General features: G+C 40.3%; 1 long non-coding RNA gene across 1 annotated transcript in view; it reads right to left on the bottom strand.

Moving 5' to 3' along the window:
* The window catches only part of LOC100130691 (Putative uncharacterized protein FLJ44553), a 109,184-nt gene that overhangs the window by 11,254 nt on the left and 79,168 nt on the right, over positions 1-18,762 (bottom strand). Inside the window, exons 7-8 of the long non-coding RNA NR_026966.1 lie at positions 16,472-16,567; positions 16,203-16,274 (exon numbers count right to left, since the gene is read on the bottom strand). This is a non-coding gene — a long non-coding RNA (Putative uncharacterized protein FLJ44553). The remainder of the gene's footprint in view (positions 1-16,202; positions 16,275-16,471; positions 16,568-18,762) is intronic.

The raw sequence follows: 18,762 nt of genomic DNA on the forward strand, positions 1-18,762 counted from the left end.
TCTAAAAACATCAGAGGAGGATAGGTAATTTTTCTTTTTTGCAGAGTAGTGTAAAGGTGGATCCATATTCCCCTTTGCTTGAAATTAGCACAAATGTGCATAGGTGGTGGAGTTGTGGTACAAATGAATAAAGCAGCCTGCCTTTCTAACCACCACTATACAAGACACTCTTATGGTTTACTAGATTGGAAGCTCCTGAATGACAAAAACCCTTCTATGTTCCCTCTGTGCATCTTCCCAACTCCCTAATGCCATTCATCGCACTTTAAAGACATTCAGTAAAAAGAGGCACAGACGGCCAGGCGCGGTGGCTCACGTCTGTAATCCTAGCACTTTGGGAGGCCAAGGCGGGCGGATCATGAGGTCAGGAGATCGAGACTATCCTGGCTAACATGGTGAAACCCCGTCTCTACTAAAAATACAAAAAATTAGCCAGGCATGGTGGCGGGCGCCTGCAGTCCCAGCTACTCGGGAGGCCGAGGCAGGAGAATGGCGTGAACCCAGGAGGCGGAGCTTGCAGTGAGCCGAGATTGCGCCACTTCACTCCAGCCTGGGCGATACAGCAAGACTCCGTCTCAAAAAAAAAAAAAAAAAAAAAAAAAAGGCAGACTTGGGCAGAGTTTCCTATTCTCTCAGCAGTAGGTGGATAAATTAGTGAATTAGTGACTATTATATGGTGTTTGATGCAAATACTGCAGTTTAATTTCCTCACTGCTCCCTTTCCCCTCTTTTTCTCTTTTGTCCCTTTTTTGCCCTCATCTTGTAGAGAAGGAAGGGCACAGGGGCCTCTTTCTACACTAAGGAAATCTCAGAGGAGTTATCCCAGGTCCATAGAGACTTCCTGAGTAGCATTCAAGCTGCAGTTCTCTTCAGCTGGCAACTGTTCTACAGTTTGCAACCTCAGGTCATTCCAAAGAACGAACCTCTTGAAATAAACACAGAGGAATGGGGCCTTTTATTATCTCCAGATGGGATTATGCGGACTTGGAAGCTGTTGAAATAATTCTTCTGTGCCTGAATCAAACTTTTGTTATCTTCCAAAAGGAAAGAAAGAGAGGAGTGGTAAATTGTGTTAACTGAAAGCCAACTCGGGTTAAATTCTGCTGATAGGTCCCCTTCCCCCACTAAAACCCAGGTTTTTAAATTTGCTTTTTATTTATTTTTGCATCCCTTTTTCCCTTTTACAATAAGATATTAAGCTGGGTTGGAATGCACACACATACACACAAACACAAAAGGACAAAATTGTAAAACCGTTGTTTTTGTGTTATCCAAGATTTAGATGTTGTTTTTTTAAAACGGGGATGAAATCTGAAAGTGGAAATACATGTTTTTTAGGGTATTACTAGAAAAGAAAGTATGATAAAGCGTGTCTGTAATACTTTTATTTTTACTCTGGTGGTAGTGGCGAGCTGAGAAGTTTCTACATACATGGAGTCCAGTAAACATCTATTGAACAAACACCATCAATATGTACAATTTTGGGCTATATAATTTTAAAATTGATGGTGCCACCTATTGGTGATGACATAAAGTGTAAAATGATCACTTACATAGTAAGTTATTTCATGTTTTCCAATCATGTTACTTATTCCCACAGAGATTCTGTGAGGAGCTGGAAGGCAAGCTTGGTTCATGCAGACATGAGGCACTAATGTTTTCAACTGGGTTGCTCTCCACTGGATGCCTATTAAATGCTCAGCACTTTGGAGTATACCAGAGAAGTAAAGACATGGCCCCTGCCTTCAAGGAGCATTTTATCCAGTTGGTAAGAGACCTACCTACCAATATAACAAAATAATAAATAGCCTTGGGAGGATGAGGCCGGGAGGATCCATTGAGGCCAGGAGTTGAAGGCTGCAGTGCACTATGATCGCGCCCTATGCATAGACACTCCAACCTGGGCAACATAATAAGACCTTGTCTCTATAAAATAAAGAAATAAAACAAAATAATAAATAGCTTGACATTAAAATGTATAATGCTCCTTCTATATATATATGGCTATATTTTATATAGTATATGGTAATCATACTTTCTAAATCCTCAGCGCAGTGTCAGGACTCAGGACATGTTACTCCAAAGTATGGCACCTCACTTGGCTGAGTACTTTACTTATTTATTTACTTATTTTACTTATTTTTTTTTATTTATTGAGAGGGAATCTCACTCTGTCGCCCAGGCTGGAGTGCAATAGTGCGATCTCGGCTCACTGCAACCTCTGCCTCCTGAGTTCAAGCGATTCTCCTGCCTCAGCCTCCCAAGTAGCTGAGATCACAGGTACCCGCCTCCATGCCTGGCTAATTTTTGTGTTTTAGTAGACAGGGTTTCACCATATTGGTCAGGCTGATTTCAAACTCCTGACCTCAAGTGATCTTCCCGCCTCAGCCTCTCAAAGTAGTGAGATTACAGGTGTGAGATACCATGATCGGCCCTTGGCTGAGTACTTTAAACTGAAGGACTCTGGAAGGACCTCGGAATAAAGTGTTCTCTGACCCTCTTCTGCTCTCCTGTCTCTTGTCTCTTTTTCTTCTCTAAAACAAGGATAGAAATCAGAATTCCTCTATGCCAAGACAGGTCCTAGACACTAGGACCACTCTTCTGCAAAGCAAGCCATAAAACCTCTGGGTCATTCTTTCCCTTTTATCCTGGAGACTCTCATTCCAGAGGGGTCCTACCCATACTCAGGAGGAAGGAATGCTACATAAAGAGACCCAGAAGAACCTAAACAGAAAGGCAGGCCTTGCTGGGTTTCCTCCTCAGTCTATTACAGTAAGATCATACTCTCTTGTCCAGTCACATTTCTACATGGCTGTCCATTCTTCATCGAGCCTCAGCATAAAAACACAGTTTTCCTTGCATCTTTGGGTATTCATTTCTTTTTTTTGGGGGAGGGGGGCTATTCATTTCTAAAGGCTCCCATTTCATGTAAAACTTTGGTTAAATAAATTTGTTATGCTTTTCTCTTGTTAATCTGTCTTTTGTTATAGGAGTGTCAACTGTAACGCTTATGATGGATGAAGAAAGGTACTACACCTTTCTGCTCCTATAGCAGGAAAAAGTCTGTTTTGCTCACGACTTACTCTAGGCCTAGTACACCACAGTTCCTGGCACTCAGTAGGCAATTGATAGAATAGTTGAATTAAGTTGGGTCTCATGGTTAGATATATGTGGCTTATAGAATATTTTATTTTATTTTATTTTATTTTATTTTATTTTTTGAGACAGTCTCATTCTGTCGCCCAGGCTGGAGTGCAGTGGCGCTATCTTGGCTCACTGCAACCTCTGCCTCCTGGGTTCGAGCGATTCTCCTGCCTCAGCCTCCCTAGTAGCTGGGACTACAGGCGTGTGCCACCATGCCCAGCTAATTTTTTGTATTTTTAGCAGAGAGAGGGTTTCACCGTGTTAGCCAGGATGGTCTTGATCTCCTGACTTCGTGATCCACCTGACTCAGCCTCCCAAAGTGCTGGGATTACAGTCGTGAGCCACCACGCCCGGCTGTCAAAATATTTTAAATCAATACTGGCAAAACAGATCAGAAAATATGTGTAAACACGGGAAGTAGGGCTAGAATTGGGTCCTAGAAAATTCCTCAAGGGATTTATAACCTAATACAGATGAAGCCATCAGTGCAGGGAGGCATCTTGCAGCCTTAAATTTGGTTAGAACTTGAGATTTTTGTGGTTTGCTGTGCCAACCCACACTTTTTCCTTAGGCAAGTACTGGGTTTTTGCTCAAAGTCCAAAAGCAAAGGAAGAGAAAAAGGCAGATGGTGGGTAGTTGCAAAACTATAAACATGTTTTACTCCTGGAAATCTTACGGACAGGAGTAATTCTGGGAGTATGAAAGTAGCTTAGAAAGATTTTTGCTTCCTCTCACCCTCCAACCTAATTATGTGCTGCAAAGTATTCCTATAATACTTGGCAATATAAGGCTGGGCATAGTGCCTCACACTTGTAATCCCAGCACTTTGGAAGGCTGGGCAGGTGGATCACTTGAGGTCAGGAGTTCTAGACCATGGCCAACATGGTGAAACCCCATCTCTACTAAAATACAAAAATTAGCCAGGCGTGGTGGTACACACCTGTAGTCCCGCTACTCAGGAGGTTGAGGCAGGAGAATCACTTGAAACCGGAGGCAAAGGTTACAGTGAGCTGAGATTGTGCCACTGCACTCCAGCCTGGGCGACAGAGCGAGACTCTGTCTCAAAAACAAAACAACAACAACAACCACCACAACAACAACTTGGCAATATGTATCAAGAGTCTTAAAAATGGTCATATCTTTTGATCCAATACTTTTCCTTCTAAGAAAATATGTTAAGGAAATAACCAGAAATGTGAACAGAGGATTTTTAGAACAAAGGGGAAAAAAACCTTTGTACTCAATATGAAAAGTTGTTTTCTAAAAATTTTACTTAAGTAATTTTGCTCTAGATATAAGACAATTCTTATGTAATATTTAAAAATATGGCACAAAATTGTGTATATATAGATTACTCCTGAATAGAAGGATTACAGGTTGTTTTGATTTTACTCTATTGTAAGTAAAAATGTTAAAACCTTTGAAATGTAGTGGGTATCCTAATTAGTGCATCCATTCATTTCTACTTTCATTGTCTTTGACTAGTCTTTGATTAGACTATTTATAACTCTGTAGAGAAAGAGGTGAAGATGTAGAAAATTGACATTAATGCAAATGTTTCCTGTTATAACTGGAAATGATCCCTGTTCATGTCAATGCAAATAAATTTTGTCTGGCAGGTAATATAGATCTCTGTAAATCAAATCCATTTGAACCAGCTATAACACCTTACTGGTTTTCTCATTAATTAATGAGTTAAATAAAATCTTTGATGTGCTCATTTTATATTTATATATGACAGTCATAATGTTTCCTTATTTTGAAAACTGTTTTTTAACACTATATAGTTTCTATTTTCTAGATTTCCTATCATAAGGATGTACAGGTAATTTAGTAAACTTTTTAAGGATAACATGCATGCAGAAAAGTAGGTAAGTTTACAGTTCAATGAATTTTCACAAAATCAACACCTATGTAACCTATGTGAGTATGATCAAGGAAAAGAACAATATTACCACCCAAAAGTAGCTCTTGTGCCTTCCTCTTGGTCACTACTATCTCCACCATCCCAACAGGTAAACACCATCCTGACTTCCAACATCACTGATTTATTTTGTCTGATTTTCAATTTTATATAAATGGAATCATATAATGTGTTCTCATTTGTGCCTGGCTTACTTTGCTCACCATTATGTTTGTGAGATTCATACATGTGATTGCACAAAGTTTTAGTTCCTTCATTCTCCTTGTTATGTAGTGTCCGTTATATGAATAGGTCACAGGTGATCCACTCGCCTCAGCCTCCTAAGGTACTAGGATTACAGGCGTGAGCTACCATGCCTGGCCTGATTTTAATTTAAAAAAAAAATTTTTTGAAGACTTGTTTTGTGGCCTAACATATGGTCTATCCTCAAGAATGATCCATGTGCTGAGGAGAAGAATGTGTATTCTATAGCTGTTGGACGAAATGTTCTGTAAATATCTATTAGGTCTATTTGGTCTATAGTGCAGATTAAGTTGGATGTTTGTTGATTTTCTGTCTGGATGATCTGTCCAATGCTGAAAGTGTGGTGTTGGAGTCCCCAGTTATTATTGTATTGGGGTCTATCTCTCTCCTGAGCTCTAATAACATTTGCTTTTTTTATCTGGGTACTCCAGTGTTGAGTGCATATACAATTGTTATACCCTCTTGCTGAGTTGACCTCTTTATCATTATATAATAATCTTGTCTCTTTTTATATTTTTCTCTTGAAATCTATTTTATCTGATAGAAATATAGCAACTCCTACTCTTTTTTGGTTTTCATTTGTGTGGAATATCTTTTTCCATCCCTTTATTTTAGGCCTATGTGTGTATTTATAGGTGAAGAGTGTTTCTTGTAGGCAACAGATTGTTGGGTCTTGTTTTCTTTTCTTTTTTTTTTTTTAAGTTTTTTTTCTTTATAGAGAGAGAGTCTTACTGTGTTGCCCAGGCTGGTCTCAAATTCCTGGGCTCAAGCGATCCTCCTTGATAACCCATTATTTAAAACTGATGACAACTTAACACTAATCGCAAAAAACAAAGGAGAGAAAGTTAATAAAAACTCCACACCACATTGCCCCCACTTTTTAACATTTTATGGTTTCTATTTATGTCTTATTCTACTATCTATGTCTTGAAAAGTTGTAGTTACTATTTTTGATAGATTCAGCTTTTAGAATTTCTGCTCAAGATATGAGTAGTTTACATAACACTATTATAGTGTCATGATATTCTGTGCTTGTCTGTGTAGTTAATATTACCAGTGAGTTTTATACCTTCAGATAATTTCTTTTTTTTGAGACGGAGTCTAACTCTGTTGCCTGGGCTGGAGGGCAGTGGCGCAATGTTGGCTCACTACAACTTCCGCCTCCCAGGTACAAGTGATTCTCCTGCCTCAGCCTCCCGAGTAGCTGGGATTACAGGCATGCACTGCCACGCCTGGCTAATTTTTTTTTTTTTTTTTGTATTTTTAGTAGAGACAGGGTTTTGTCATGTTGGCCAGGCTGGTCTTGAACTTCTGACCTCAGGTCATCTGCCTGCCTCGGCCTCCCAAAGTGCTGGGATTACAGGCGTGAGCCACTGCACCCAGCCCCTTCAGATAATTTCTTATTGCTCCTTAACATCATTTTCTTTCAAAGTGAAGAACTCCCTTTAGCATTTCTTGTAGGAGAAGTCTGGTGTTGATGAAATCCCTCAACTTTTGTTTGGTTGGGAATCTTTATTTCTCCTTCATCTTTGAAGGATATTTTCCCTGGATATATTATTCTAGGATAAAAGTTTTTTTTTTTCTTCAGCACTTTAAATATGTCATGCCACTCTCGCCTGGCCTGTAAGCTTTCCACTGAGAAGTCTGCTGCCAGACATGTTTTTTATTTTTATTTTTGTAGAGACAGTGTCTCACTATGTTGCCTAGGCTGGTCTTGAACTCCTGAACTCAAGCAATCCTTCTGCCTGGCCTTCCAAAATGCTGGGATTACAGGTGTGAGCCATGGTTCGCAGCCAGAGTTTAAAATTGGATATGACAGTTGGACTGGTGGGTTAGAATTCCAGTTTCTCCCCACTGAGGCCAGGGTCCATAATCTGAGCATATCTAGTTCATCTTCTCCAGATCAGTTTGGTGACTCCCTACTCAGTCTCCATCTCAGAAGTAGGGACAGAAGGAAGAATCTGAAAGCAGGAGGACCAGAAAATATGCTTTCAATACCTCTTTTACTATCAAATATCATAGAGTCTAAGGGACACATTAAAGGGCTATCATGAGTGATTAAAGGCCAAAAAGAGTGGAAATGACTAGCAGGGTTTACACTTGACTTTCTGCAAGTGAGCAGTGATCCAACAAAGATGGTGAGGTAGGGTGGAGTGGGTGAGGGTGGTGCGGAGATTCAGTACAGGCCCAGCCCAGCAGGTTTAGTGGGGGTGAGGCATGGGAATAGTGGTGAAGATAGTATTGGAGTTACTGTGCACAATCCAAGCTGGAACAAAACTTTAGTACACCTAAGAATTTGGGGTAAAATGGTGCAATGGACAGAATATCCTAGAGAAGTTGTGTTGAGTTTGGGGGTATAAGTGGGACATCAGGTAAGGAGGCTGCTGCAGTGGCTTAGCAGCCAGCCTGAGATCTTGGAGATAATGAACAAAGAGACCAAGTTGGCATGTCATCAGGGAGCTTGGTGGATCTGGGGAGAGAGATTTTCATCTCAAGAAGGATTTTCAGAATTTATATCTGGACTTGTGCTATTTGAGATCTCGAGTTTGGTTCAGCAGAGCTTTCTGTAAAGCATCCTTAGGAGCCCTGACATCAGGTGACAGGGGAGGTGGCTGTGATCTTTGGATAGCCAGGCAGAGTGGAATTCCTGTGAGAACCCCTGACAAGTACTCTTCTAAGTCCTTTGCTTCAGTGCCGTGAGGAAGGATTAAAGCTGATCCATGCCAACTCTGTCAATGGGCTCACCCTGGCTTGTTGGCATATTGTTGTTGACAGCTTCCAGGTGTATGTTTTCTTAGAGATGGATTCCATGCAAGAAAAATGCTATTCTTGTTGCCTAGGCATTAGTTTAATAAGTAAACAAGTTACAAAATACTAAAGGAGAACACGAAGGTCTTTCCAGGCTTCCCACTGGGCTCCTCAGGAACTGCTTATCTACCACTTTTCACACTAAAAAAGACCCAACAACTGTACTATAGACAGGATGTATTTTATCCTTTTTATCTTAATAAATGTTTTAAAGGTTGTTCTTATCCATTAGGACCTCAGCACTGTATACCTATAGGGAGCCTCTCATTTAATTTGCAGAATAAACAACATCATTTCCATTTCAAATCTATAAAAATAAGAGTCCATGAGATTAAAGAAATTGTTCTGCATCACATCATAAGGTATTAAAAGTGGGTCCCTAGCCGGGCATGTTGGCAGGTGCCTGTAATCCCAGCTACTCAGAAGGCTGAGGCAGGAGAATTGCTTGAACCCGGGAGGCGGAGGTTGCAGTGAGCTGAGATGGCGCCACTGCACTCCAGCCTGGATGACAGAGGAAACTCTGTCTCAAAACAAACAAACAAAAAAACCAACCAAACAAACAAAAACTGGGTCCCTAACTTGTAATTAAGTATCTATCCAAGTGTCTATCTTCCACAGAGAACACACAGTCTTGGAGTCTCACTTTCTACTGATCAGGACCATTAACCCCGCAACCTAGTTAGGCTACCAGGTTGGGCAGATTTCTATAGGACCTGGTCCCCTAAAGAGTAAAAATCCCTCAACTGCTCCTTACTCCCTAACTTCAAAAGGATCCAAAGGATTTGGTTACCCGACAGGCCTGAGATAAAGGCTTGATTGTCTTTCCAGGATTTCAAACCTGTTCTTTGGGGATGGCCCAACCCCACTTGTTCAGTTTTGCAGCCAGAAGCATGGATTCATCATCAGTATGTGAGTTCTTCATCTACACTATCTGAAGTTTCTCGGCTGACTTTTAATTTATATCATAAAATAGTAGTCTATTTAACATTTTTGCTACAAACAACACTTTTCTATGTATATTTCAAATTCTGAAGAAAAAGTCTTACTGATTAATATAAATTTGAGTTTCTTATAATTTCAGGAAGCACTTTACACAAGGAAAAAGAGAAAATCATTTGAGGGGCTGGTTATAAATACTATTTGACACAGATTGGGACTGAGTGGGTTTTCTAACTGGATGGATAGCAGGTGCAAAATTGTGATGCTATGATTTCTTATCACTGAAAAGTGCTCCACTTGTGGTAGAAGAAGGAAATGAGATGCCTATGAAAATAGAGTTGAGTCATGAAAAGAGAAGAGAGTCCCTGGATGCTCATCATCCAGGTGAAGTTGCAATAAGAACTATAGCTATCATTTCAAAAAGTTTTTAAAAATACATAGTTTTCTGGCCCAGTGCAGTGGTTAACACCTGTAATCCCAACACTTTGGGAGGCCAAGGGGGGAGGATCACTTGAGGCCAGGAGTTCAAGACCAGCCTGGCAACATAGTGAGACCCTGTCTCTACAAAAATAAAAATAAAAAATTAGCCAGGCATGGTGGTGCATACCTGCAGTCCCAGCTACTCAGGAGGCTGAGGTAGGAAGATTGCTTGAGCCCAGGAGCTCCAGTCTGCAGTGAGCTGTGATCGCACCACTGCACTCTAGCCAGGCTGACTAAGACCATGTCTCTGAATAAATAAATAGGTAGATAGATACAGATATAATGTTATTTTATTTTATTATTATTTTTTCCCTGGATGGTGTCTTGCTGTGTCGCACAGAGCTGGAGTGCAATGGCACCATCTCGGCTCACTACAACCTCAGCCTCCTGGGTTCAAGCAATTCTCCTGCCTCAGCCTCCTGAGTAGCTGGGATTACAGGCATGTGCCACCATGCCCGGCTAATTTTTGTATTTTTAGTAGAGACTGGGTTTCACTATGTTGGCCAGGCTGAGTCTCAAATTCCTGACCTCGTGATCTGCCTGCCTCAGCTTCCCAAAGTGCTGGGATTACAGGCATGAGCCACCGTGCCCAGCCTAGTTTTCTTACTACAAAAGGAATACTTATTATCCAAATTGAAAACAGAACTAAAGAGAGAGAGGAAGAATATTAAAAACACCTGAATTCCACCACTGATTACTAATTTCTGCACTGGCTTTCCATGTTACTGAGAGTTAACCACTAAATTAAGAGGGGAATGGGATTACCCCTGAAAATACCTTAAATCATTAAGTTTGGAATAGCACCTTGGAGCATGTAGAAAACCCAACACATGTGCATGATATAAGCTTTGTTAGTTGAGCAACTAATGAAGTAGTTATATTTATAAGCCATGCTACTTAAATGTATATAAACAAATAAAAATAAAAGGACCTGTTAACAATAGAATCACACTTAGCATGACAAGATACTCAACGTATGAAGAGCACACAGGACCAGAAATAGATCAAATTCACATCAGCTCTTTCAGAGTTATTTTGGGTTAGATCCAAGCTAATTGAAAAGATCAGATACTATTGCCTTGGGAGGCCAAGGTGGGAGGACTGCTTGAGAACAAGAGTTTGAGACCAGCCTGGGCAACGTAGCAAGACCCCGTGTCTGTAAAAATAAAAACAAATTAGCCAGGTGTGGTGGCATGTGCCTGTAGTCCCACCTACTCAGGAGGCTGAGTGGGAAGGATGGCTTGAACCCAGGAATTTGAGGCTGCAGTGAGTTATGATCATGCCACGGCACTTCAGCCTGGGTGACAGAGAGAGATACTGTCTCTTAGAGAGAGAGAGAGAGAAAGAAGAAAGGTCAGGCAGAAATCACAACACCATTTAAAATGTTCTCTCTTGCACTCCCTTTCTTCCTCTTTCTCTCCCTTTTCTCTTTCCTTTATTCTTTCTCGTTTGCCCTCCACCCTTCCCAAATTTAGGTGAAAGCTAGTTAAGCTAAATGCAAAATGCTGTGATGCTACTGTATTACCACTTTTAAATTTAGCCTTCAATAACTTTAAAAGTTACAAAAATACACAGTACTAATGAAAGCATCAAACAGTACAGAAAGTATTAAAAAAAAAGTCAAAATCTCCTTTTCCCATTCTTTTGTCTTACTCCTCAGCATTCTTCCCATTTCTAGAGATGGAGGCAAGACCTAGAATTTGGATGGGGGGTAAAGTCGGGGGAATTTCTTTTCGTACTTTTATACAAACTGTGTTCTTTGTGACTGTATGTGTGTGTATTTTTATATCATGTTAGTGAGATTTAGAGAGCAAGGGGAAGTTAAATGCATGTAGTCAATCCACCACCTTGAACCAGAAACCCTTTAAGAGCTTTTAAAACCATATGCATATACTCACACATGTATTTATTTTACTGAAATGGAATCATCAAGTACATATTGGTTGGTCACCTGTGTTTGTCCTTAATATATTTTAGACACCTTACCACATTAATAAATATGTATCTATAACATTATTTTAAATATGAAAAATATAACATTATATGGATGTATTTAATTAAACTCGTATTGTTGGACACTTAGGTTGGTTTTCTATTTTTTTATGATAAACACAGTTTAGATGATCTGCCTAGTAGTTTAATCTTTGCACACATGCTTAATAACTTCCTAAAGATAGAGTTATAAATTTGACATTGGTCAGCGAACAAAATGTGCACTTTTAAGGCTTTTGAATATACTGGACACTTCTGTTTCTTACATTTTAGCTGTGCAGTCTCAAATCTAACGATGAATGTAACTTCTTTTCTAGGGTGGGACGCTACTTCAGACTGCTTTCATGTCAAGATCTGCCTCATCTTCCAAAGTGGGAGTTCCCAGCATTAGGCTTGTGGGGGTGGAAGCTTAATCCGCCTCCTTCCAAAAACTGAAGTGAGTCACTACCAACCTTGTCTCTCCACCCTTTACTGGGTCCATACACAGCCCTGCCTTTTTTTAAGGAGGTGGAACCCAGCCTAAGGTCTCCATTAATGTGGAATTGAGAAAGGGCATCTGTTCTGGGTCATTCTGACTTCCAGACTAGAATTTATCTCAGCTCTTAAGACAGAGCTATCTTAAGATAAGTTCTTAAGAGCTAACTTAAGAAATCTTAAACAGTTTTACAGAAGTGGGTAAAATCTCTGCAAGTCTTTGAAGAATATTAGCAATGAAAATGGTTGTTATTTTTTCAAAAAATAATAACATGAACTTGGAATGGATAGTTATTTTGGCCAGAAGATTAACATGAATTCTCTGACACCTGGGCAGATTCCCCATCTGATCTGTGCTCCTTCCCATTTGAACATTGGATACCTTTGAGAAACCTTCTTGGAGCATGTAGAAAAGCCAGTACATGGGCATGGACATACACATACCCCACCCTTACATTCTTCTTTTTGTTTCTCTTGCTATTGCTACTATCATACCACCACCACTGAAATCTAGCAATGGTTTTAAGATGTGTAATGTGGTTGTTTTTGCTGGTCAGAGTACTTTCTAGGCTAAAAAGCAAAGGAAATATAAAGACAAAATTTCAACAACCTGCAGTGTTATATGCTGCTTTAGTTTATAAAGCAAGGCCGGGCACTGTGGCTCATGCCTGTAATCCCAGCACTTTGGGAAGCTGAGGTGGGTAGATCACTTGAGCTCAGGAGTTTGAGACCAGCATGGACAACATGGCAAAACCCTGTCTCTACAAAGAATACAAAAATTAGCCAGGTGTGGTGGTGCCAGCTGTTCAGGAGGCTGAGGTGAGAGTATTGCTTAAGCCCAGGAGGTCGAGGCTGCAGTGAACTGTGTTCACTGCAAAGCAAGACCCTGTCTCAAAAACAAACAAACAAAAAATTTATAAAGCACCTTCACATATCCTGCAGGTGCTGTGTCCAGGGAACTCATTCTACTAAAATTGCTCTTAGTCTAAAGGGGAAGCAATGAGATGAGCTGATTACGCTCTGGGGTTAGGGATTCTATGTTTCTTGTTATGAAGTCCTGATATTCTGCTATCAGAATGATGGACTGTTTGACTAGACCTACCTGACAGAGTAGAGGAAATAGTTCTGATTTTCTCCTCTCTAGGAAGTGAGAATGACATAGAACAGATATCCTTCTCCAGGGGAGAAGGAGACACTCATGGTCACAAAAATCTAGGACAAAATATTTCAGTAAAACTAGCCCCACAGTAAGTTTTCTTACATTCAGCCACTTAGGGATTAATTTTCAAAAGATTCCAGATAAGCAAGGGTAATTTGAACTTTGTAAAACATTGTTATAAACTCTTCAATGGTCCCTTCCAGAGAGCTCTGTCTGCCCTTGAGTAGCTAGAAGCACAGTTTTGCTCAAGTCAAGAGCTGGTATCAGGACAGAAATATCTACTGTCTTCTAGAAGAGTAAAAAGTAGAGAAAATACTAGAAGTTCACTGTAAAGTGGTCAAGTTTTTAATGATTAAGGTACCAATAAATATAAGGAATATAACATGGTTCTTAATTGAGGAATATAACCATACTGGGTTTTAAATTGTTTTTTTAGGGACATGGACATAGATTCCTTTAAAAGCCTTATATTTAGTGGTTAGGTACCAGGTTCATCCCTAAAACCTACTAAAACTATATTGACTCTGAAATGGCACTTTCAATTTCCTTAAGATTCCATCCTCATCCTACTCCCAATGGAAGCCTTCAATTTATTAGATAATTGGAAAATTGAGACTTGAGGCCTACTGAACCATGGGGGAGTGAGGGGTGGGTGAATGTGGGCCCTTCTGGGTTTAGTAGCACTCAAATTAGCATAAGAATATGCTATTTCTGGGAGATGACCCAGAAAATAAGGCCATCAAGAACAACAATGTTCATATGTCTGAGTCCCAAGTATTAAATCTATGGGTTAGTGACTGAAGGACTTAGGTTTCTTTCTAATTTAGTTAAATTCCATTAGATAAAATTGATAACTTGGACAAAATTTGCTTTTAAGATTTCGACGAAAGGGACTCTTGTGCTACTGTAGCTCCTTAGCCCATTCTGTCATCAGAACTTGTGCTGGGCATATAGCCAGTCTCTAGAAATATTTGCTTCATGAACTGAATATGAAGATTAACTAAGATGACTGGCATGCCTTGGTGTAATGGGTCTTTGCAAAGATGAATTCTTCAAGGTGATGACAAGAGGTTTGTCTAAGATTTGAGAAGCACAGTGAGTGTGCCAATGGATTATTAATGAGCACTCACACTTTTAAGAGTAGAGAGTCAATCCACAGCAAAAACTTCAGCACTACTGAGATATAAGGGCTTCGGGCATATTACCTAACCTCAATGTCCTCATTTATAAAATGTAAATAATAATAGCAACACTGTCATATAGGGTTATTATGAGGATTAAATGAGACAATGCACATGGAGTAATTAGAAGAGTGCCTGGCAAGTAGGAATTAGGGGAATGACTATGCAGATGCATTTATGCAGATGAACATAACTCAGAAACAATAGGGTAACTCAGAAATAATAGAAGGTCCTAGACATAAAGGGGCCATGGGACCCCTACAATGTATATGAATCTTGGCTGAATCATTGTGAACTAGTTAAGGACCAGCTAAGATACCTGCCCCATTCCAGAAGCCTTGGCACTGTGTAAGATCCTGCTACTATGTGGTATGAGTTGAAAATATATCGTAAAATGATTTTTCCTAACAGCCCAGAGATATGTGGCCATGGAACAGAAATTGGGTTGAATAATAAAAAAGTCATATTTCACAACCCACTTCAGCTATTATTATTATTAGGGAACCAAATGATATATCCAAATATCAAAGGAGAGAGCGGGGATAAGGCACAAAAGGGTTGAGAAGAATCTTGCTCTAGATATATTTTACTGTTCCAGTAGCCATGCCATAATTTCTAGAGGAGCCTATGGGGAAAAATCTGATTCTGAGGAAGGTAGGGAACTCGCTTGAAACCTCTTTTGTATAACTTTTTTTTTTTTTTTTTTGAGATGGAGTCTTGCTTTGTCACCCAGACTGGAGTGCAGTGGTGCGATCTCGGCTCACTGCAACCTCTACTTCCCAGGTTCAGCTTCCTGAGTAGCTGGGATCACAGGTGTTTTCCACCATGCCCAGCTAATTTTTTTTTTTTTTTGTATTTTAGTAGAGATGGGGCTTCACCATGTTGGCCAGGCTGATCTCAAACTCCTGACCTCAGGTGATCTGCCCACCTCGGCCTCCCAAAGTGCTGGGATTACGGGCATGAGCCACTACACCCGGCCTTGTATAACATCTTATATAAGATTGAGAAAACATCAGTTGCTCCACATGAAAAAAACACAGGAAGTGGTTGTGCCTGCAAGTGAGGAGAGGTAGGGTTATGAGCTTGTTTAACCTCTTAGGAGAAACAACTTTTCCTCAAGCCTTTTAGAACAATGCCTTGTACTTAATCACACGACCTTAGATTATGTGGTAAAACTATATTTCTTTAAAAGAATTCTAATATTCACATTTTCCCACCAGTTCTAACCCTGGTCTTCTTTTCATTTATTTGAAAGCAGATCTGGCCAGACGCGGTGGCTCACACCTGTAATCTCAGCACTTTGGGAGGCTAAGGCAAGTGGAGCACGAGGTCAGGAGATCGAGACCATCCTGGCCAACATGGTGAAACCCCATCTCTACTGAAAATACAAAAATTAGCCGGGCATGGTGGCTTGTGCCTGTAATCCCAGCTACTCGAGAGACTGAGGCGAGAGAATTGCTTGAACCCGGGAGGCAGAGGTTGCAGTGAGCCAAGATCCCACCACTGCACATCAGCCTGGGCGACAGAACCAGATTCTGTCTGAGAAAAAAAAAAAAAAAGAAAGAAAGCCAACCAATTCTTGCTGTAACTTCTGAAAAAGAACACAGTGCTGTGGCAGCAATAATGATGACATTCTTCCAAGGGGCAGGATAAGAAAGAGGCAAAACAGCTGCTGGAGGTGGATTTTTGGCATTAGGGAAGTGTGAAATGTGAAAAATCGCTATCACAGAAGATCAAAGGAGTTAAGAAAAACTCACAATTTAGAGCTACCTGTTTGTATTAGTCTGTTTTTATACCGCTATAAAGATACTACCTGAGACTGGGTAATTTATAAAGAAAAGAGATTTAATTGACTCACAGTTCCACATGTCTGGGGAGGCCTCAGGAAACTTACAATCATGGTGGAAGGTGAAGGGGAAGCAGGCACCTTCTTCACAAGGCAGCAGGAGGGAGGGAGAGAGAAGCAAAGTGGGAAGAGCTCCTTATAAAACCATCAGATCTATGAGAACTCACTCATTGTCATAAGAACAGCATGGGGGAACCTCCCCCATGATCCAATCACCTCCCACCAGGTCTCTCCCTCAACACCCGGGAATTACAATTCAAGATAAGAGGCCGGGCACTCACCTGTAATCCTAGCACTTTGGGAGGCCGAGGCGGGCAGATGGCCTGAGCTCAGGAGTTTGAGACCAGCCTGGGCAACATGGTGAAACCCCATCTCTACTAAAATACAAACAACAACAACAAAAATTAGCGGGCGTGGCAGCGTGTGCCTGTAGTCCCAGGTACTCAGGAGGCTGAGGCAGGAGAAGTGCTTGAACCCTGGAAGCAGAGGTTGCAGTGAGCTGAGATCGTGCCACTGCACTCCAGCATGGCGACAGAGCGAGACTCCATCTCAAAAAACAAAAACAAAAACAATTCAAGATGAAATTTGAGTGGGGACACAAAGCCTAAACATATCACTGTTTTACAGCGTAAACAGTCACCTAAGTTAACTGTGTTAGATATGGTTTCTTGCATACATTTTCACTACCTTCTCTATATACTCCATTTTTACTCTACAGAATTATAGAAACTGGAAGGCTCAAAACTATATTTCCCACTTTTCACCATCCATAAAAGTCACAATTGTAAATCTAAGTGGGACAATAACAGTTTCACAAGAAAACAGAAGAATACTCACGATTTTGGAATCCACAAAGATTTCTTAAACTGGAGACACACAAAATAAATAAGCCATAAAGGAAAACATCTGATAAACTAAACTAATTCAAAATTATGAATGTCTTCTTCAAAATACACTATTAAAAGAGTGAATAAAATAAGCCACAGAGTGGGCTGGGCACAGTGGCTCACGCCTGTAATCCCAGCACTTTGGGAGGCCGAAGCAGGCAGATCACAAGGTCAGGAGATTGAGACCATCCTGGCTCACATGGTGAAACCCCGTCTCTACTAAAAATACAAAAAATTAGCTGGGCATGGTGGCGGGCACCTGTAGTCCCAGCTACTTGGGAGGCTGAGGCAGGAGAATGGCGTGAACCCGGGAGGAGGAGCTTGCAGTGAGCCGAGATCACGCCACTGCACTCCAGCCTGGGTGACAGAGCAAGACTCCATCTCAAAAAAAAAAAACAAAAAACAAAAAGCCACATAGTGGCAAAAGATATTATCAATACATATACCCGACAAAGGACTCATATCCAGAATAAAGGACTATAAAAACAAGAAAAGGCAGACAAGCCCATAGAAAATCACACAAAACACATGAATAGGCATTTCACAGAAGAGGGTACCCAAATGGCCAATAAACAATTAAAAAGGTGTTTATTTGATATCAGAAAAATGAAAACAACAATGAGATTCAATACACTGCATTAGTCTTTGAAGAGAATGGCTAAAATTTAAAAGATGGAAAAGATCAAGTTTTGATGAAGATGTGAAAAACTGTTGGGCAGTACTACTCAAGCTGAACCCCATGCATCAGAGAAATTACACTTTTATATATCCAACTGAAATATGTGTGTGTGTGTGTGTTCACCAATGTTCACAGTGGCACTAGTTGCAGTAATCTCAAATTGGAAACAACCCAAATGTCCATCTTTGGTAGAACGTATAAATTGTGTTATATTCATACAATGGAATACTACACAGCAATGAAAATGAAGATACTATTATTACTCTCAACATGAATGAATCTCACAAATAGTTGAGTAGGAAAAGCCAGTAATAAAATAATACACACTGTATCATTCCATTTTGTCTAATGTTTAAAAATAGGCCAAATTGGTCTAGGGTATTAGAAGCCAAGATTACAGTCAATTTGAGGGAGGATAATGCCTAGAAAAGATAATGAAGGGAGCTTCTGGTATGGTAGTAGTTTCTGCCTCCCAATCTGGGTGCTAGCAATATGTAGGTGTGTTTACTTTATGAAAATTCATCAAGCTCTCTGATTATAATTTGTGCATTTTTCTGTCTGTATGCTATACTTCAATAAAGATAGATTTATACTGAGTTAGGAACAAAGCTCAATAACTATAATTCTAGGCTGAGCTGCTAATAGGATTTGTTAAACAATTTAAACTGTGCCAGTCAGATATAATGATGCGAAATTAGAAAGGTAAAAGGAAGAGAGAGGCTATTTCCCCTGCCTATTAGTTTTCCTTCCTTCCTTCCTTCCTCCCTTTTCTTTCTCTTCTTTCTCCTTCCTTCTTTCTCTTTCTCCTTCCTTCCTTCCTTCCTTTTCTTTCTCTTCTCCTTCCTTCCTTCCTTCCTCTTCTTTCCCTTCCTTCCTTTCTCTCTCTCTCTTTTTACCTTCCTCCTTCCCTCCCTCCTTCTCTCTCTCTATTTATTTATTTTTTGAGAAAGATTCTTGTTCTGTCCAGGCTGGAGTACAGTGGCACAATCACAACTCACTGCAGCCT

This window comes from Homo sapiens, chromosome 2 (genome assembly GCF_000001405.40).
Source record: "Homo sapiens chromosome 2, GRCh38.p14 Primary Assembly".
Lineage (NCBI taxonomy): Eukaryota > Metazoa > Chordata > Mammalia > Primates > Hominidae > Homo > Homo sapiens.